The following is a 21,446-nucleotide window of genomic DNA, read 5'->3' on the forward strand; positions in this document are numbered from 1 at the left end:
CATCCCTAAGAAATATTTTAAGTGTGTTTTGCCTCCAGATAAACACTGTCTACACCTGCGAACTTGTAGCTTCATTGGACTGTTTTCAAATATTCTTACCAAACACTATTATTGCATGTTACATGTAACATCATGATTAAAGTCATTGTGAGAATTCCTGTTTTACAAAGGAGAAAGTCTGAAAAAAAGTGTTTACTTCTTGAAGTTAGGTGCAAACAGCTACATTCCAGTAGACACAGCAAAAACAGGTCAAACTCACATGGGATTTTTTTTTTTTTTTTTTTTTTTTTTTGTCATTGCAGAGCACATAAAATAGATCTGTACATTTTGGTAGTGTTTAGAATGCCTGGAGTCTTACCTTCTCTACCTTTTTAAACTCTCTTTTCTTTTCCTTCTCCCTCAGCCCCTTTTTTCTTTTCCTTATTCTCTTCAGTTCTATTCTTTACTGTTGTGAATTTCATTCTGGTCTTAAAAAAAAAAAAAGCTGTTACGGCCAGGCGTGGTGGCTCACACCTGTAATCCTAGCACTTTGGGAGGCAGAGGTGGGCAGATCATGAGGTCAGGGGTTCAAGACCAGCCTGACCAACATGATGAAACACTGTCTCTACTAAAAAAAATACAAAACCTAGCTGGGCGTGGTGGCACACGCCTGTAATCCCAGCTACTCAGGAGACTGAGGCGGGAGAATCGCTTGAACCCAAGCCGTGGAGATTGCAGTGAGCCAAGATTGAGCCACTGCACTCCAGCTTGGGTGATAGAGCGAGACTCCATCTAAAAAAAAAAAAAAGCTATTACAGCCCTATGAGGATGATTACTCCTGTAATGAAGAATGATGGGAAATTTGTCTCCAGGGCTGGAAGTAGGCCTGAAAATTCTGTAAGTACTTTGTGTTGGCCAAAGCAGGCTCACATTGTGTGTCTTTCATCTTTGATGCTTACTAGAGCACTAACATATTAGTCAGAGAAGAAAGACTTTCTTCTATTTTGTAATCCTGTGACACCACTTTAAGTACAGTGGCTGGTAGCAACTCCTTGGTGACCCTTCAGAATTATGAGAATCGGGCAAAGTTGATGGCTGCTACCCGTCAGAGCAGGAGTCCAGTTTATAACCGTGAGTTGATCCTGTGCCTCTCCCCTGATGAGGATTTGTGTTTCTGCCAGAAGCTTTGCTCCAGGTACTGATGAAACCAAAGTTTTGGAAATAGAAAGTGCTTCCTGAGAGATGACTAGCTTTGCAACTACTATTCAAAGAATAAGTAGAGTGTGTTTTAGAAGATGAGTATTTCCCACAAATGACAGAATGTTGGACTTAAAAGGTTCTGTGGCAGTTTGGGAGGTGACAGTTGATAGTTGTGAAAGTTGTTGTCTCTGAGATTCGTGAAACACGCCGCTTTTTAGAATGCCTCTGAAAGAACAAAGAAGTCACTGGCACTCGACTATAATATGCTAAAAAGTTTCTGGTTCCAACAGCACACAGCCAGCATCAGGTGTTTTCTTTTTTGATAAATGCAGGCGGGGTGTGATGTGGGAGAACATTTTGTGTTTTCCTGTGAGAAAAAGATAGTAGAAAAGAAAGTAAACACTTTGAAATGGCAAATCTCTTTCTTCCTCCCTCCCCTCTGAATCCAGTAATCAAAAAACTGTGAACTTTTTTTAAATTTTATTTTTTTTCACTGTCAGTATTCAATATAACTGTGAACTTTTTAAAGGAAGATGTTTTATTCTTTGAGAACCCCCTTACTAGTTAGATACCTCTAAGTGAGATATAGTTGTTTAATTTTTCCAAGGGCTAAGTCAGTAACATGCTGGACAGTTGAGTACATGCAGATAAGACAAAGAAATGAGACCTGGGCCTAGTCCAAGCCCATAAAGGATGGCAGTAAAGTCAAAATTCCCCTACAACTTCAGGCTAGGAACTACTACATTCAATGAGATGGAAAGGCTACTATTCCTAAATATTTAGTATTTATTTTATTTAGTCATTGTCCATCTTATCACTTACCCTCAAAATATTCTTTTGAGCAGTAAGTTAAGGCTGTTTTTAGCTCGCAGTTGATTGACTACCATTACTCAAGCCATTTGGGCTGTTGGAGCTCACCTTTAATTAAACAAGATTCTTATGAAAAACTTGAGAATGAAATCTGGTTGTAGGTATTCCTGTACTTTTGGATTAGTCTAAGGCTGAAATTTCGCACTCACTCCGAAAAGAACATCAGAATCATTTCGACCATGCTATGCTGCACAATAAGGAGTAGTTCAAACGACAACTTTTTTTGATCCCAGGTGTTTTATTATAGGGTTTTCTGATAGTCTTACCGGAAAGGAAGTTTTCATTCTGCTTGGGAATCTGGGGATGTCTCTAGCCATTTCTAAACTTCTACAGTGCTTCCCCCACGAACTAAAGATAACAGGCAAGCAGTTTCCATTGGAACTGTGTTAAATCGACATCTGAAATGTTCATTGCTTATAATTTGATCTTATTTAATTTCCCAAAAAATCATTAGTTACTAGGTATTGCTAAGTACCCACGTTCGGGAAACGCATCTTTTTTTTTTTTTTTTCACGGTTATTAAAACCGAGGGTGGGGGGCGGAGGACGCACGTGGGAACCCACCAGGCGCCTCAGCTTCTGCACTACAACTCCCAGAAGGCGCCGCGGCCAGGAAGCCGCTTCTGGACGGGCGTTCCCGCCCCTCGCTGGGCTTGGTAGTTGGGGCGCAGCCGCGGTGGCTGGGCGCGGAGTGTGCGTGGCCTGAGCCGTGCGGGTGACTGCTTCAGGGCTTCTCCGCGACTGGACCGGGCGCCGCTCGAAAGCACGCCCTCCATTCGCACTGCTTGTTGGGCTCATCATGAAGCGCTTGGGCTCCGTGCAGCGGAAAATGCCGTGTGTGTTTGTGACGGAGGTGAAAGAGGAGCCTTCCTCCAAAAGGGAGCATCAGGTACGGAGGAGCGCCGGGCAGGCTTGGCGGCCCGCGTGGGCTCCTCCCCGCGGCGCTGGCTCAGTGCGAACCCGGCGAGGGCGGCTGGGCGCTTTAGAACTGCCCTGCAGGCCAGGAACCTCTGTAGGTTTCCCTGGGGAGGTCTGGGGTGGGAGTTCCGTACGCCCTGAGCTCCAGGTTCTTGTACTTTTCTTAGTTGTGAGGGAGGGAATTTGCGAAAGAATTTTCCTTATCAGGAGATTCAAACTTGTCCTCGCAAGGAAATGGATAACTCACATCCACAGCATGTCCCTTCCTTTTCAGGTCAGCACCTTTTGGGGAAACCCCCTAATCAGGTAATTGCCACAGTCCAAGCTTTACTACTTTTCAAGAGTGCAGTAAGAAAGGGTGGATATTAGAAGACTTGCTTTACCTGTTCTGTCCGAACCAGTGGCGGTGTTGACAGTAGCCTAATTAGGTCACTGAAGTTCACACCTCATATTACCAGTAATTACTTAATTTATTCTAACTTTGGTGTTCTCAAGGTTTTCTGTTGCAGCAACGTGTTTTCCATAGTGTGCCCTCGGTAAATGCTAGTGAGTAACCTATATTTGGGTAATTTTTTCATATTGTACTATAAAACGTTGTAGTCTTTGATCAGTAGAATCCCCAGTGATTAGTTGGGTGCTTCCCAACTTTGCTGATTTCAAACAAAACCAACATGTCCATTGGAAATCCACCTCACTTGAGTTTCATCATTGGCACTGGCTTTCTCGTCTTCTGGACTAAAACTTGTTTAAGGCAAAGATTGCCCTGTTATCTTTAGTCCCAGCTTCTAGGACCTGGCACGTGGTAGGCACTGGATAAATATTTGTTGAATTAAAGAATGAACCCTGGAATCATTTCATGCCAGTTTTCCATTCACCTTGATGCTTTTTACCTTATAGCATCTGATCTTTTCCTGCTTTCTAGTGCTGTCACAGCTGTTACAGTTAATATTTCATGTCCTGCTCATTGCACCACCTAACTGGTCTTACTTGCCACTCAGACTGATCATCACCATGTTCTTTCCTCGTCAGAATACCACAGTTATTACTCAATGTTTGTAGCAGTAATTGGCTTTTTTTTTTAGCTGTAACAAATGTAATCCATATGAAACATTATCATCTGTTTTAGTATTTCACTCTACTGTGATTTTCAACTTCGTATGTTTGAGGGGAGTAGTTTGTGAAAGTATTCTCCACCAGGGAAAATAAGCAGCCCCTTCTCTTACCTCTCTGCAGTTAAGAACAGCTTACAGTATCGTTTATAGCATAGCATCCACATTCTTAATTATAATTCAGGGCCTCCCACTAATGAGGCTCAATCTACCTTCCATCGTCCTTAAAGTGGATTCTGTTTTAACCATCTATTTCATCCTGTGAACATATCAACCACAATCCTGTCTCATATTTTTGCTCAGACTGTTCACTCTGGATCACCTCTAGAGTGTTTTTAATTTTTCAAGTCAGTTCTTCTCCATAAAATCTTATCAATTTAGCCATTTCAGTGATTTCCCCTACCCAGAAATTGTAGAGGGCCACTCAATTGATATTCACTATTTTAATACACGTACCTTGTTTTTCCGGTAATAGTCTAAAGCCTTTTATGACAGGTGGAGAAGGAGAACTTTGTGTACCCCTCAGTGTCTCGTGTTGTCCTTTGGATATGTCGATAGCAAAGAGCAGATGATTGATTTTTATGGAAGGAATGTTTATACTCATCAGGAGCTCCATGGGGCAGAGTAATCTTCCCCCCCACATAGGATCTTTGATAAATTTAGATACACACACACTGCTATTGGACCAGACCCTGTGGCTCTACCACCCTGGGTTAAATTGATATCCTTTGAAACCAGCATCATAAGTTAGTGAAAACCAGTTGTATTTTTAAAGTACTGAATCCCTACTAGACGATTATATTTTAAAAGTATTGAATCAGTACTAGAAGGGGCTAATTTCTTAGTTTACCTGTTTGCAATAGTGCATAAGTCTTAAGCTCACACACAGCAGTATGTTTATATTGTACAGTGTTGTTTCACTTTGTAAGATGATGCTACTTCAGATACAGACTATAGAAGTGGCATAAGTCTTTTTCAGAAATGAAAATAAATTATAGATAAAAAGTTAGTAGGAACCCAAGAAACTGCCTTTTCCTCATCCTTGGTGCCCTTCTTCTTCCTGACAGTAGAAAAACCATAAATTAAATATGTAAACAGCTGACTACTGATAAAGCTGAAAGGGACAAAAAGTGAGTACTCTCAAAGCAAACAAACTCAAAGGAAAAACAAAAGGCAAGTGATTCTTACTAGTTTTAACGGTGAAAATTGTTAGGGGAAAAACATGAAAAAAACAAAATCAACTTCAAATCTTGAGTACTCATGGTGCAAAGACATAGAACTAAAATGGTTCTGAAGTATACGGTATAACATCTCTAAGATGGCATAGTGGGCCAGCTTGTGCTATCAGTGGGGCTGTATTTACAGGAGTGCTAATATGAGGTCTCGTCTAAGAGGTGATGCCAGCGGGTTTTACTCCTTTTTTTATATTCTGCCTGCATAGTCTAGGACAAGGCCGTTCACAAACTAGATGCTCAAGCTTTGTTGAATGAGTTACCACAAAGATTTTTAGATCAACATAGACTCCTAAATACAACTTTCAAAGTAAACAATTCATCAGACTACATGGGGATGTCAGGTAACTGTGAAGAAAACTGTTGTCAAAGTGAAGCCTAACTCAAGAGTCAAGAGATTTGTTTTATAGAGGCAATTTTTCTTTTGCCATCTTGAACATTTTTTAAGTAAATAAACCATAGCTGATACAGCTCAGAAATTTAAGTTTGTAGTACTGTCATGTCTAATATAAATCACTATTAATGGTAGGAAACCATCGGGGTGAACTTTCCTTTCAGGCAGATAATATATTTTCCTAAGAGTATTTGTTGAACTTTATGATGATACATCTGAAGATTTTTAGGATATAAAACTGAATCAAGGATAGAATAGTTCTGAAAATTAAGATGCTTTTAAAGTCTGTGATCTGTTATGTTTAGACAGAGATGCAAGCTCTGTGACAATGAAGGTATACTAATGATAATTGCTTCATGAAAAGGATGAAGATCATTAGTTTTTCAGCCTGTGCTTATAATAGCACTTGTTTATCATGCAGTTGAGGAGGAAAAACATGAAAAAAGTAAATCCAGAAACCATTTGATTTTGGCTCTTAAAGAAACTTCTTGGTAGCAAATAGAAACTGATGTCAATTATATTGAGAAAAATGCACTGAAAAAGAGACAAGAAGTATGCCAAAACGTTCTTTGTGATACATCTGAAGGGTGATGACGTGGGTGATTCATTTATGCCTTTGTATATTTCATTTACAAATTTTCTATAATGAGCATCTATTAGCTTTGCAAGGAAAAAAAGGTTAAAAAAGGCAAAAACAAAGTATGAACTATCTTCCGTCTCTTTTGCCTGCTCCCTGAGAATGTGACCTGAGACAGGAGTACATTACCACATCCTTGCTAAGACTCCTTATGAACCAAGTCTTAATTAAAAAACAAGTTTTGTAAATCACAAAAATGTTTGTGCTTATAAAACAGGGGGAAAGTCTCATGTACTGAAGAGTAGATTGACTCTTGGGAAAACTGAAAATTACAATTGAAAGATACTTGTATTGAACTACCAGAAGCACTTATGAAGTTTAAGTTAATTAAGCATACAATCTAGTTTTACTTCACGCAGATCCAGACTCAATGTCTGCCTTGCATTCTTCAGACACATCAAGAAACCTTACCTTTTGTTTTTTTCCTCAGATATTTACATGGTATTCCTTTGCTTCAAATTTGGTTAAAGGTTGCCTCCTCAAAGTTTCCCTTTCCACCGTATCCAAAATAGCACCTCATCCCTCTTTCCTTTACCCATTTGTTTTTAGCACTTGCTTGTCATAGCTAACATTATATTATGCATTGTGCTTCTTTTGTCTCCCTCATTAAAATGCAAGTTTCACCCAAGGCAGGTACTTTTTTGTTCACCTCTGTATTTCCAGTGCTGAAGACAATGCTTAATCTTAGGCATTTAGTAAATAATTGCAGGTATATGATTAAATATACTGAATGCCTTTGCTAGGGATGCAGCATTGCAAAGAACAAAGGTGGATAAAGAAACGTAAATAACTACAGAATTGTGTAGAAAATCAGGTGTTGCTGTGATAGTACAGAAGGGAGCAAACAATTCGGAACTTCACAGAATAAATATTTTTAAATCATTCTGAAAGATGAACTGGAGATCATTCCTTAAAACTAATGAAATTAAGAAGATTTCAGGTGAGCATGTGTGCAAAGACATAGAGGCTATCTATCTTAAACCGGTTTTCTCTCTCTCTTTTTTTAAGCCATTTAAAGTTTTGGCAACTGAAACTGTAAGTCACAAGGCATTAGATGCAGATATATACAGTGCAATTCCAACAGAAAAAGTGGATGGAACATGTTGTTATGTTACTACCTATAAAGGTAAAATAAAACTATAATATTTACTACAAATATTACTTATTTTTCTTAATCACTTTACAGTCTATCTGAAATGAGGCATTTGCTCTTCATAAACACTTGGAAACCTAAGTATAGTAGCAAAACAAAAAGGTCACAATTGTTATAGTTCACTTATGTTACTGTATTTTCTTCCTGGTGGAAAAAAGAAAGGTAACTAAAATATTTACTTAATACCCTTAAGGGCTCAGGCAGTATGGTGCTTGACATATATTATCTCCAATTTGTACAAGTAGCCTCTCCATTTCACAGACAATAAAAATGAGGTTTAGCAAACTTAAATAATTTGTCCAAGACCCAATAGTGACTGAATGGCTGAACTGGCAATGGGACCTATGTTCGTGTGACCCTTAAGCTTGTTCTTCCTGCACTGATTCCAGGGGCTTTATTCCTCTTGGCAGTGTCTCTAATTAATTTCACTTTAATGTAGTTTAAAAGGTAGAAATGCAAATAGAAATTGTCAGTCATTTTAAGAAGAAATGTACGGAAAAGAGATTTTTTTTTTTGCAATTATTTTTGGACGGTGAGATTACCTCTCACTTCCAGAAAAAAATAGCATCTGGACACATTCCTGGGGCATTAAATGGACATCTGGACACATTCCTTGTATCAGGAAATTTATTCTGAAATGCAGTAAAATAACTGGGCTAAAGCATACATAATATTTGCCATCTTAACCATTTTTAAGTATGCAGTTCAGTGGCATTAAGTATGTTTACATTGTTGTGCTACTATCATCACCTTCCATCTCAAGAATTGTTTTCATTTTATAAAACTGAAATGCTACCCATGAAACAACTCCTTATTCTCCCACCACCAGCCCCTTGTAACCAGCATTCTCCTGTCTCTATGAATTTGACTACTCTAGGTATTTCATATAAGTAGAATCATACAGTGTTTATTTTTTGTGACTGGCTTATTTCACTTAGCATAATGTCCTTAAGGTTCATTCATGTTGGTTGCATGTATCAGAATTTTATTCCTTTTTAAAGCTGAGTAATATTCCATTGCATGTATCTAGCACATCTTGTTTATCCAGTCAACCATTGCTGGACAGTTGGGTTGCTTTCATCTTTTGACTATTGCGAATAATGCCACTGTAAACAGGCATGAACAGATATCTGAGGCTGTGCTTCCACAGAAGTGGAATTACTGGATGATATGGAAATTCTGATTTTTTGAGGAGCCACTATACTGTTTTGCATAGTGGCTGCAGACATTTACCTTTCTACCAACAGTGCACAAAGGTTCCAGTTTTTCAATTTCCTCACCAGCACTTATTTTCTGCTTTTTTCTGTTTGGATTTTTGTTTTTGTTTTTGGATAGTAGCCATTCTAATGGATGTAAATAAATTGCATTTTTTATGTTTACTGGTAAAAAAGAAACAAAAGGTCCATTGAACCAGAAACGATAATACAGTTTTAATCTGGTTCTTCATATTATTTATCTGGATAGCTAATAAGTAGTACAGAATATTTGGACCACTGTGCAGCAGTTTCTTTATAAACCTTGGATTTGTATACTTGAGAAAACTGTAAAAGATTTTTTAGACTTTGATGTCTATTAAGAAACTATAGTGTGTATCATTATGCGTGAGGACGGCAAACTGGGTTAGAATTTAACTGCTAAACTCAAGTCACAGAACCCAAAGTGACAATGCTTACAAATCCACATTTATTACTACTAAAGAATTACTACTAAATTATTACTACTAAGGCATTAAAAGTAAAGATGTGTATTATAGCCAAGGACTGTCTCACAGTAAGGAGTATGGAGAGGCCAAGTAAAAGCTACTATTGTTCCCTGCTTTAGAGCCTTGGCAGGACACATTTTCTTAGATCAGGAACCACTTATGTGTGCAGGCAAACAGCTTGGAACCAGGGAATGCAAAATGGACTCACAGCTGGAGATTTTTATATTTTTGCTGGTCACGTAGGTAGGCAGCTGATGCTCAGCTTCAACAGCAGAGCCCTCCAGGGTTCTCAGACCAAGCTATCAGTCTCACTCCTACCAATAAAGAATACTAGCACAGTGCCCTGCAACTCCTCAGATCCATGAGTACAAATCAACATTATTAGTATTTTCATGCCTTGATCAGGGGTCAGTGCCATGCAGAACAGCTCAGCCTGATTCCAGATGTGTCAGAATTAACCCTTACAGCACAGTGTTATGTTTGGGGGGAAGGGGTGGGGTAAATACAGTTATCTGGTTATGTTTCCATTTTGAAGAGGTAGCTTCAGTTGTCCATAAATGCTGCTAACTCATACAATATGACTATGCAGTGTCCTTATAAAAAAGATCATATATTTACTTTTTGTCTCATCCCCCTCATTCTTTAACCAGAGAAATAAGTCTTCTCATAGCATCAGGTACTGCTAGGAGGTATATATTCTTAGACTCCATATTTCCCTTTGTCTTCTTTGAGAAATTAGCCTCCTGTTTGTTGACAAACTGTATTCTGAAATGTCTTTCAAGATAAGTTTTGTTTGCATCATACTTTTCCTTTTGTTATTACTTTTTTAGATCAGCCATACCTTTGGGCTCGACTAGATAGAAAACCCAACAAACAAGCTGAAAAAAGATTTAAAAATTTTCTACATTCAAAAGAAAACCCAAAAGGTTAGTTTTTTTTTAACTTTTCATGTTTAAATAGCTGAAATTTGTGGCATATTTATTGCTGTGGTATTTCTATACATTATATCCTTCTGTGTAATTTAAGCAATTTAGGAAAACTATAATTGAATACTTTTATATATAAAAGGATATTATTGAAAAATATTGTAAAATATTTTTGTAATATTTGTCACTTCTTTATAGTATGAGTCTATTAAAACATACAAATTACTGCATATTGAAATGAGTGACATTTTGTGTAAGAGACAAATACGTAATTTTATAAATCAAGTACAAATCTCAGGAAATTAATATTTTTAATTATTAAAATGCTTTTAAATATCTGTAGTAGATACTCATTGTATATCTATGCATTCATGTATTTATGTTTATATTTGTATTCATAGTATATTAAAAATTCATAAATCTAATACTTAATGGAATATGATTACTTTAGTTTGACTGTTAAATACTGTATACAAATGGCGTATATGAAATTGAATATTTAAATTGTTAGTACCCTAATCTTAAGTACAGTCATGTTGTGGTGATAATGAATGGAGAATAATTGTATCACACCTGATATTATGAGGTTTTAGTAGCTGTTCCCATTTTGAGTCTGTTTAGTATTTTACGTTTTTTAAGTATCACCACATACAATATTATCTTTTTAATATTTTTTAGAATTTTTTTGGAACGTTGAGGAGGACTTCAAACCAGCTCCGGAGTGCTGGATACCAGCAAAGGAGACAGAACAAATAAATGGGAACCCAGTGCCTGATGAAAATGGACACATTCCTGGTATCATGATATCTCTTCTAGTGCAGTTTTGTGTTTACTAGTAAAATGATCAAAATATCCATTCAATCAGAAATTACAGAATTTTAATCTGGGTCTTCATTAATATGTATAGCACAGAATTTCTGAATCAAATTTATGTAAAGTCCTACATACATTTTATATCAAAGATGTTTCATATCAAGAATGTCCTCTTAGGTTTAGAATCTTTTCTAAGATGGGCATTTTTTACTAGCTGTAGTCTGTGACAATAAAGCGTCAAAAGAGAATAGCCTTGAGGCCAGGTGCAGTGGTCACACCTGTAATCCCAGCACTTTGGGAGGCTGAGGTGGGTGGATTGCTTGAGCCTAGGAGTTTTAAGACTAACCTGGGCAACATGGCAAAACCCTGTCTCTACCAAAAATACAAAAAATTAGTTGGGCATGGCATTGTGCGCCTGTAGTCTCAGCTACTCGGGAGACTAATGTGGGAAACACCTAAGCCCCGGAAGTTGAGACTGCAGTGAACCATGATCGTGCCACTGCACTCTAGCCTGAGAGTTGGACTGTGACCTTGTCTCAAAAAAACAACAAAAGAAGAGGGAATAGCTTCCAAGTTCTTGTCAGGATAGATGAGATGATCTAGTCTGAAATGAGATTTCAAGAAGTGGCTATACCTTTAGATTAGGGATGGGAAAATTTTGCGAAGGTATGCTGAATAGGAAGATATCCCAGATTAAGGTTATAGGTTCTCAACCGGCATGTCTTGAGTGCCCATTATGTGCAAAGTCCTCTTAGTTTCTGGTAATACAAAAATGAAGGTCAGAACCCTTGTCCTCAATGATCTTTAATTAGACATTGGGAGAAATTAACCAATAATAGTATGATTTAAGAACTAACAGGAATGAATACATCAGGTGCCACTGGAGAAAAGAGGAATTCCTCATTCAGCTTGTGGTTAGTGGAGGCTCCCAAGAGGAGTAGACATCTGTACTGAAGCTTAAGGACCAGGAAGTCAGCTGACAAGGAAGAGGGAAGATCAGCTTAGGCAAACTCCCAGGAAGAGGGAATATCAGCTTAGGCAAACTCCCAGGAAGAGGAGAGGGCATGGGGTATTTTGAATATTTTATGTAACACTTTATTGCAGCTAGAATGTTCAGGGTATATGACATCATGAAGTGGCTGTAAAAGTTGAGGCTAGAAGTGTGGTGGGCTCAGATCGGAAAGGCCCTTTTATTCCATCTAAAGGAGTTTGAAGTTTATCCTGAAGATAATGGTTTTTAATCAGTGGTACAGCAAAAGCAAATTTAAGTTTTAGAAATAGAACTATGATAAAAGTGGGTTGGATTTCACTGGAGGCTAGGTGACCAGCAAAGAAGTTATTACAGTAATCTAGTGTGAGTAATGAAGGAATTCTGGCAATAAGAATGAGAAGGGTAATAGCAATAACATTCAATAAACGTGGCATCAGTAAATTGTTCGGTATATATTGGAACATTTTAATAAACTTGGAACACTTAACTGCATTATGTCCATTGTCCCTGAAGCTTGAGAGAAGGCAGAGAGAAAACTTATTTTATATAAAAAATTTTGAGTGCTGTGTCTTAGAATAATGTTCAGTTCTTAATGAATAAGGGTGAATTTTCTAGTAAGAGAATGCTAGGTGCTGTGTAGTGAATAATAGGTTAATTCTACAGAATAAAAAATGAACCCTTATGATTTTTTAAAAAGTAATAAACTGTTAACTTTCCCACTGAATTTTAAAGTAATATCTCTTTGCGATAGACACCCAGAAAACATGAGAAATTTACAACAAAAATATAAATTACCTGTAGTGTCAGTCCAAAGAAAAACGATCTAATAACAAATAATTTTCTTCTTTATATGATAGGTTGGGTACCAGTAGAGAAAAACAACAAACAGTATTGCTGGCATTCCTCTGTAGTTAATTATGAATTTGAAATTGCCCTGGTACTAAAACATCATCCTGATGATTCTGGACTTTTGGAAATTAGTGCAGTGCCACTTTCAGATCTCTTAGAACAAACACTGGAACTCATAGGAACAAATATCAATGGAAACCCATATGGTGAGTGAAGACTTTTTCTTGTTCAGTTATTGTAACTGACATTTATAAAGAGAACTTTCTAGGTCAACTTAAAAAACATACACACACTAAAGAAATGACTAACAAATTTGAGTTAGTTTCCTAGGATTATATCCATTTCTGTTAACTTTACATTCACAGAGAAATGAAACCATTTTATTAATCCAAAAGGTTGATTTTTATCCTCATTCTTTCCTGTAATAACATTACACAACTATATATGAAAAGTAATGACTCAGTTGTAACCCCCTTGCTTTTAAAAATTCAGGTGAGTTGAGTCGATTGATGAAAATGCACTTTTCATGGTTATTATAGCATCAATTTAAATAGCCAACGGTATAAAGAATTGGCAATGAATAATACCATGTTAAGTATCAAAATATATATCATGATGAATTGAGTGCAAGTACTGAGAGCACTATGGGTTACACCTTGCTGACAAGGGGATGGGAAGACAGACCTAAGGATGCTAAAGCTATAATAGGAAAATCCTATATGGAGATCAAAAGAAGACTGCCAGGTGTAAAGAAGCTAAGATGGTAGTTAGACAAGTTATCAGAGATACAGTGCAGCTGTTTGGCAAACGTTGAAGAATAGTTGAATGTGGCCAGTGCCACACTGGTACCAAAGGTTGGTAGACTTTTTCTGCCAAATGCCAGAGTAGGTATTTTAAGTTTTGTAGGCCACTCTTCTGAAAGGAGCTACAGACAGTACTTACATGAGTGGGTGCGGCTGTGTTCATGGAAAACTATTTACAAAAAAAGTATCTGTCCAGACTTGACCTGCAGGTCATAGTTTGCTGAACCGTGGTGGAGAGTACACCAAGGTGGAATTTAGAGTTATTGGAATAAGGTGCCAGTGCACTGGGTTATATTCTTTTTAAGGAAACCAACCAGCCTTTCTACCTTTATTCCTAAGTGTTTCAAAAGACTTTATTTGAAGAGGTACGTTTTCTAGTTCTGAAAGTTCCTTTAAATGAATATGGCTAATGGCAAATTTTCCCACTTAGGGTTAGGGAGCAAGAAACATCCATTACATCTTCTTATACCACATGGAGCATTTCAAATAAGAAATCTACCTTCATTGAAGCACAATGATCTCGTGTCCTGGTTTGAAGATTGCAAAGAGGGTAAAATTGAAGGAATAGTGTGGCATTGCAGTGATGGCTGTTTAATAAAGGTAATGGCAAAAATAGCTCCGGTGGGGTTATGTCATCTTATATTCCTACAATAGAGTAGAAGTGACACTAAAATTCTCTCTACAAATGGCAGCAATTCTTATTTGCAGTAAAGAAATTTAATTTTCTCATCCCATGTACCACCATTTTTTAAGAGGTAAAACAGTGCTTCCCAGTGTGTATTGTGTGGGGCATCGATCATAACAGGTGTGCTTCAGAATTAAAGTGATAACTATATATCCCCTGCGTGGAAATTCATGTTGCACAGTAGTGCTCTCAGAGACATCTTGTACTAACTTAACTCAGCATCTCCCAGACTTGAGTGTAGAATCTGTTGAGTAAAAAGAGTGCCAAGGTAGCAGTTGATATATACAGAATGAATTATCTTATACTTTGTTCCCTTTCTGTCTCCTGGACTTGTCTGTTTGATTTCTCACAGGTACCTGAAATTCATAATATTCAAAACTGGGCCTAGTTGTAACTCTCTGAGTCCACATAATTCACTGAAGTAAAAACTTGGATATTAATTTTAACCCCTCTTTTCATTACTTCATACATCCAGTTATCAATTCCTAACAGTTCTAATCTATGTACTTCTTCCCAACTGTTAATTTTAATTTAAGCCAAGATTCATGCTTTAACTATCATATCACCCTCCAAAAATAGTATCTTTCAGTTTTAGCCCTGTCCTCTCCATTCTTCACAAATGAATGAGCATATTACTTTCCTGCATAAATCTGTTCAGTTACATTAAACATTCATGATCTGGCCCCTACTTAATTTCCCAGAACTGCTCTCCACCTCTGCCCCCGCAAACACACTCACACTGTGTTTGCTGTAACCATATTTACATGATTGCAATTAGAGCAAAAAACTCCATTCTATCATATAACATTCCTTTCAATTAGAATGCCTCCTTGCCCACATTTTTCAGGTAGCTAGTCTGTACTCAGCAACAGGCTCTATGATTCATAACATTTTATGGAGCCCCTGATAATGTTCCTGGCATGTTTCCAGGTGCTGGACATACACAGTCAACAAAACAAGGTGTCTGCCTTCATGAAGCTCACATTCTAATGGGGAAGATAGACAATAAACAAATATGTAATATGTCAGGAGAAGACCAGCTATAAAAAAAAAAACAGTAAGATAAAGTGGAGTCTTACCCAGTACCTGGCAGACAGTGGGCACTCAAATATTTCTAAGTGAATGAAGATAGTATCTGTATGCTAAAGCTAATACCTTTTTTCTCTTTCCAGGTCCATCGCCATCATCTTGGCTTATGCTGGCCAATTCCAGATACTTACATGAATTCAAGACCAGTTATTATCAACATGAACCTGAACAAATGTGACTCTGCCTTTGATATTAAGTGTTTGTTTAATCATTTTTTAAAAATAGATAATCAGAAATTTGTTAGACTCAAAGATATAATATTTGATGTATAAAATGCAAATAAAATTAGTTTATCATTATATTCTAATCTTGAATATTCTACCATATTTAAAAATATCTCAAGGTTTCTGTTCATTATGAAACATCAATATGTTTTCTACCATTTGTGAAGAAATGAATTTTCCAGTTTCAAGTACCTATTCAAAATTTTATTAAAAACCAGCAAATTAATTTTAATCTCTAGCCATAAAAACATAAGTAATAGTAAGCTCCTAAGCTTGGACAAAGGCTGGATTCTCTTCACTATAACTGAGTGGTAATTTAAAGACAACAATTTAATGTCACTAATTTTCAAAATTAAATAGTTTAAGCTCAATTTAATTTTGCTAGATATTTAACAAAACATACGGCTCAACCTCATAACCTATATGTGTGTATGTCTACATCTGTGTATATATCATAGGATTTGAGAATCTTAACACATGTATAAATAAGTATATATAAACTCCAATTTTAAATCTTAAAATTGCTGAATTTACCCTCATATTCTTTAAAAAACTTAAAGCATTATGAATGTAGAGAAATTCACCAGAGCTCACTGCCTATTTGATGGCTGTAACAAGTCTTCAAGTATATACTTTTATAATAAGTTGAAAATTTCATATAATTTTATTTATTAAGAATTCCAATCTAAGTATAAAGGTACAAGGTAGTGAGAAGGAAATACTACAGTTCGGAGAACTGCTTATTTCCAAGTATATTTAACTTATAAAGTTAATAAATAGTTAAATGAAACAAAGTTTATAGGTGACCTTTAGTAAATGGGGAAATTAACAGGACTTTCTTCTTCATCTTCAAACTCTTCAGAAGCAGCAACAGGGCTAGTTAATTCAACTCCCAATTGTTCTGAAAGTTTTTTTACCTTCTCTTCTAAGAGAATATTCTTCTTCACTTCTTCCTTGTAATTATACTTAAGATCTTCAATTTCTTCAAAAAATGAAGGATCAAAATTTTCCAGTTCTTTTTTCAGCTTCTTTATTTCCTCCTAATGGAAACATTATCTTTAAAAGTTGCATATAGGAAATATACATATTTTACGTTTGAACAAGGAGATTTAATTGTAAATATGAAAGCCAAAGTATTCCTGAATGGTCAAATACAGCAATAAAGGCAGAAGAATTAAGATTTTTCTTTGTTCCATTGTACAGTGTAAATAACTAAGTTGTTAACTGTCAAGTCCAGTTATGTATTCTGTAAGTTGTGTTCTAGTCTTTGACTAAAATTTATCATCTCTTATAATGGGACTTAATCTTTCTCTAAAAGCATATAAGAGCTTGTCAATAGAGCAATCAATCAAAAAGATTTTGTGATTCATAACATTGAAGTTAGTCTGGTTAAGAGTTTTGGTTTAGACTTCATTTATATTTTCCTTACTAATATCTAATATTTAATGAATAATGATCAATTTTTTATAAAGTTATTAATATGATCAGGGAAACCTTTGGGACTTCTGACAGGCATCTGGTGAAGAGACAATTCAAGCCTTAGTGACTATTTAGAATAGCCAGTGATCACTAGCTAATTCTCATATCCATGCCTTTTTGTCCTGTTTACAGTCTTAAAAGAGGTAAAACAGCAAATATTTTTTTAAGGGAACTATAACCTTAGGATTCCTGAAAAGAATTTCAAAAAAAAAATAAAGACACTGTTGCCAATGTGACCCAAAACTTAAGAACATACTAATGGCATATATTTGTTACAATTAAAAAATAAATTTACTACTTAATCCTATGTTGAGTCTGAATTTTTTGTTAACTCTAATATGTTAGGAATAGTCAGATGAACATAATTAACTTTGCAATATAAAGGTCAAATATAAGATGTTATTACTGAATTTTTTAGGATACGTAGTTAAAGATGGTAATGAAAATAGTTTTCAACAGCTGTTTTCACAAAACGATACTAAAATATAATTAAATATTACCTTCAAATGCTGCTTTTCTAGATCTGACATTTTGAGCTGTGTCTCTAGATCTTTTATTTTTTCCTTTAGTTGATCAGCATCTGTTGAAAAAGTCATACAAATTAGACTCAGCTTTTTCCCACTACGAATGAGTTCAAGGTAATGGATTTGTTCTAGAGAACAGAGATACATTTTATGAAACCTAGAACCTGGAAAACACTGGATGTTATGGCTGAAATACTTCAGGATGTAAACACTTAATGCTGCCTCCCTCCATCAAGTATTATAATTTCATAGCAGGCAGAAAGAGGTATGTGCTAGGTATTAGAAGTGTAGGCCAAGTTATTTTTTCTTCACATGATAGAAATTTTACATGGAAAAAATCCTAAAGCCAGGGAAACTTGTTAGGTACTAAAAGTACAACAGAAGAAAAGCAGACTGTTGGGTAAGGGACTATAACCATAAGCTAGCCAAATGCTCCCGCTATCCAACACAACACTGGCTATTCCATGTAGGTTATTACACATTTACTGTGCAATTACTATGTGCAAAACGTGTCATGCAGGCTGTGTAATACAAAGATAAGTAAGACATAGCCCTGATACTTTGGTAGGAAAACAAAAGTCTCCAAATATAGCACAAAAGTTCTAATTTATTGGATTCACCCTCCAAGTTAACACCTCTAACTTTATCAGCAGGCAAATAGGATTTTTGCTTTAATGCTATCTTTGCTAGATATCTCTTTTCTTTATATTATACTACATTTAATAAGTCATATTTTACAGCCATTGAAAAATAATAAAATACTAAAAGTTTGCGAAAGTAAGGGGCAGCAAACATTTTCATGGCTGGGACAAGTATCTTTTTTTTTTTTTTTTTTTTTGAGACAGTCTCACTCTGTCGCCCAGGCTAGAGTGCAGTGGTGCAATCTTGGCTCACTGCAACAACCACTGCCTCCCAGGTTAAAGCGATTCTCCTGCCTTAGCCTCCCTTGTAGCTGGGATAACAGGCAAGTGCCACCATGCCTGGCTAATTTTTATATTTTTAGTAGAGACAGGGTTTCACCATGTTGGCCAGAGTGGTCTCGAACTCCTGACCTCATGTGATCCACCCACTTCAGCCTCCCAAAGTGCTGGGATTACAGGTGTGGTGTGCTACTGTACTGGGCTTGGTATAAATATCTTAAAAGTTATCTTGCCATTTATATAGACAGTGATTTAGAATTTCCAAAACAGTTCTGGTTTGATCTTAAGCCTTAATCTTTGAAAAATGACAGGTAATCTGTCTACTTAGGAAATAAGGAATTTTGAGGGTTCAGAAATTCCCTTAAGAAACTGAGGAATGGAAAGATTAGAGAACTATCTATGGCCATATGACCCTTAATGCACATGCACCTGATCTCTGATCTCAGAAGCTAAGCACTGTTGGGCCTGGTTAGTATATGGATGGAAGGAAAATTATAAAATTTTCCTCACATCAACAGCATTAATACTGTGTCTAGTGTACATACCAAGCTGGCTGCTATGAGACATATTTTGAGAGTATTTAATATGTACTTTTAGTTACCAAGACGTAGCATAGCATAGCGGGTTAAGGACTAGGAATGCCAAGGAGCTGTGGAGTTTCATACATTTAGATTTTAATCCTGCCTCTATTTCCTAGCTGGCTTAGGGAATGGTTACTTAACCACTTTGAATTTGTTTATCACATAAAATGGAGACAGTAATACCTATCATATATGGTTGTAAATATAGAATGCTTGTAAGGCAATTAGCATAGTGTCTAGTACAACTCACACATGATGGCTTTTATTACAAATTAGTAATAGGACTACATAGCATACTGAAAAAGCTACAAGAGATAGTCAAAGATAGTTCAGATATAAATTGGTATAATCCTTTGGAGAGAATGGCATCTCTATCATCCTATCACAATGGCATAATTAGGTCAATAGATTAATCATATTTTATAGAAGCAGAAACTTGGAAGCAAACTAAATATCCATCAAAACATAAATGGTTCGATGTGCTTATACATGCAATAATACACTATGGAATTATTAAATGGATGAGATAATTTATGAACAGACCTCAAAAGATGTCCATGATAAACTGTTAAAGGCAAATATGCTAGAAATGTGTATAGTATTAGTTCAATTTTATGTTACTTGCCAAGAAAATATATATACGTAAATGCAAACAAAGTATTCTCTATCCATAGTAGTTTTGGTCTATAAAGTTAGCCCAATTAGTGAATATCAAACCACTGCTGCTACGGGAAATATGTACAGACATGCATATATATACATACACGCATATATATACATACACGCATATATATACATACACCTACATATCTCACACAGATGATAATCTTAAATCCTAAAGATAACTCATCCTGGTAAATTCTATTTATTTACATAAGAAAACAAGATTCAGAAGTGTTACATGACTCTCCTAAGGCTAGAGCAGTAACAAGCCTCAGAATTGGGATTCAAATCCCTTCCACCAGGCCCCAGAGCCACAGCTTCTTGCACTATGCTGTGCTGCCCTCTACTGTCTCCATCCTCTGCTCATTTCTCTATGAAAACTGAAATGAGGATACTGAGCACTGCCTTGTTGGACTTCTGCTGGGGACATGTAGGTTGGATTATTCAAACTTTCCAAGGCTCTGTGGATGTTTGCAAATGTGCTGCGAGTGTTGATTTGGGATTACATACACACTTTAGTGAGGAGGTGATTTAGAAAATACAGAATCCACAAATAATGAGGATATGTACATTGTACATATGAACATACAAACACATGTATGCATATGTGTGATATATATGTATACAAAATATGTGTGTATGTATATGCAGGAATGAGGAATGATTAGTAATCACTTTTGAATGGGAATGGAAGGGAGCAGAAAGATTTTCTTTTTACTTTGTAAACGGAAAAAAATATAGGCAGTATTTACTTATTTGCAGTTTTTAAAAATGTTCAGAGGACTTGAAAGAGCCTATACTTAGAAACTGGAAGCAACAGATTTAGTATTCATTGCTTAGCACTGTATTGTGATTAAATCTGTAACACCCAGATGGAGAACAAAGAGAAGAACACTTGGGTACTTGCTACTCTATAGTATAAACAACACAAAGAGAAAAATGGGAATATTTTTATATTAATAGCACAGAGAGACAAAAGACCCAAAGCTTATCAGGAATTCGATTTTACAGGGAGACAATGATCAGAAATCTGAGCCAAAAAAAAAAAAAAAAGGCAAACCCAAATTCAAAAACTTGGGGGTAGCTAACATGTTTTTTAAAATACATTACCAGGTATGGTGCTTTCAGCTCCACTTTGGTCCTTGTTAGCTTCTATCTGATGGATTAATTCTGCTTTCTCTTTATCCAGCTGATGATTAGCTAATCTAGAACACAATGATAATGTGTTAAAAAAATAAAGCAGATATTGCTTCATAAAATATATGGGCATTTCTTATGAACTAGTGATGTACAGTAATCAGAACAAGCTAGCCTTTATCGAAGTAAACATTTACTCTCAATGCTACAATGTCACCATTCTCAAACAAAAAGCCTGGAATACAAAAGCCTTCACGTTTTTCTTAATATCTGACCTGATGGCATTTGCAAGTGTGGTTTCGTTATAAGAGGAGCTTAATGAAAGCAGGCTACAGAGACCCCTGAAAGTAAAAAAATTACTTGTTCTCTTTCATTAGTATTTTCCTCTGGGAAGCTAAGGTTTAACTCATTCTATGCTCTTAGAAAAGTTTAAACTAAATTACAAACTGGAAACTTAGAGTTGGGTTTATCCTTTTTTTCTAGTGTGTATTATGAAAAAGAGTGATTAGCATTAGAGGGAAGAAATAAGGACCTAATAAGCCTGTTAGGCAGTAAAGTCGAAAAATGCT

The 21,446-nt window shown here is 36.2% G+C and overlaps 2 protein-coding genes, 1 long non-coding RNA gene and 1 pseudogene across 23 annotated transcripts in view; 2 read left to right on the top strand and 2 right to left on the bottom strand.

Moving 5' to 3' along the window:
- Positions 1–291: 291 nt before the first annotated feature.
- Positions 292–2,695, bottom strand: LOC107984542 (uncharacterized). 2 transcript variants are annotated; one of them, XR_007063394.1, is made up of 3 exons: positions 2,613–2,695; positions 939–1,546; positions 292–467 (listed from the first exon to the last, which is right to left on the bottom strand). It is a non-coding gene; the product is annotated as an uncharacterized LOC107984542 (long non-coding RNA). The 2 variants fall into 2 exon arrangements; XR_007063395.1 differs by having other exon boundaries at positions 910–1,546.
- Positions 2,696–2,734: 39 nt separating this feature from the next.
- Positions 2,735–17,359, top strand: RLIG1 (RNA 5'-phosphate and 3'-OH ligase 1). The gene is made up of 7 exons (NM_001009894.3): positions 2,735–2,937; positions 7,347–7,464; positions 10,024–10,119; positions 10,798–10,914; positions 12,781–12,978; positions 14,006–14,175; positions 15,433–17,359. The coding sequence occupies exons 1-7, from the start codon at positions 2,848–2,850 to the stop codon at positions 15,619–15,621; spliced, it is 978 nt and encodes a 325-aa protein (NP_001009894.2). The 5' UTR covers positions 2,735–2,847; the 3' UTR covers positions 15,622–17,359.
- The window catches only part of CEP290 (centrosomal protein 290), a 93,073-nt gene continuing 87,841 nt past the window's right edge, over positions 16,215–21,446 (bottom strand). For 17 of the 20 annotated variants that reach the window (XM_017019983.3, XM_047429563.1, NM_025114.4 and 14 more), the window contains 3 exons: positions 20,851–20,945; positions 17,553–17,632; positions 16,215–16,613 (listed from right to left, as the gene is read on the bottom strand). In XM_017019983.3, coding sequence (XP_016875472.1) covers positions 16,383–16,613; positions 17,553–17,632; positions 20,851–20,945 — 406 coding nt within the window. In that variant the 3' untranslated portion in view covers positions 16,215–16,382. Of the gene's footprint in view, positions 16,614–17,552; positions 17,633–20,850; positions 20,946–21,446 lie in introns of those variants that run through there. The other 3 variants (XM_047429559.1, XM_047429558.1, XM_017019982.2) reach the window with 1 other exon arrangement.
- RNA5SP364 (RNA, 5S ribosomal pseudogene 364) lies at positions 18,900–18,977 on the top strand (annotated as a pseudogene).

The sequence above is a fragment of the Homo sapiens genome, chromosome 12, assembly GCF_000001405.40.
Source record: "Homo sapiens chromosome 12, GRCh38.p14 Primary Assembly".
Taxonomy (NCBI): domain Eukaryota; kingdom Metazoa; phylum Chordata; class Mammalia; order Primates; family Hominidae; genus Homo; species Homo sapiens.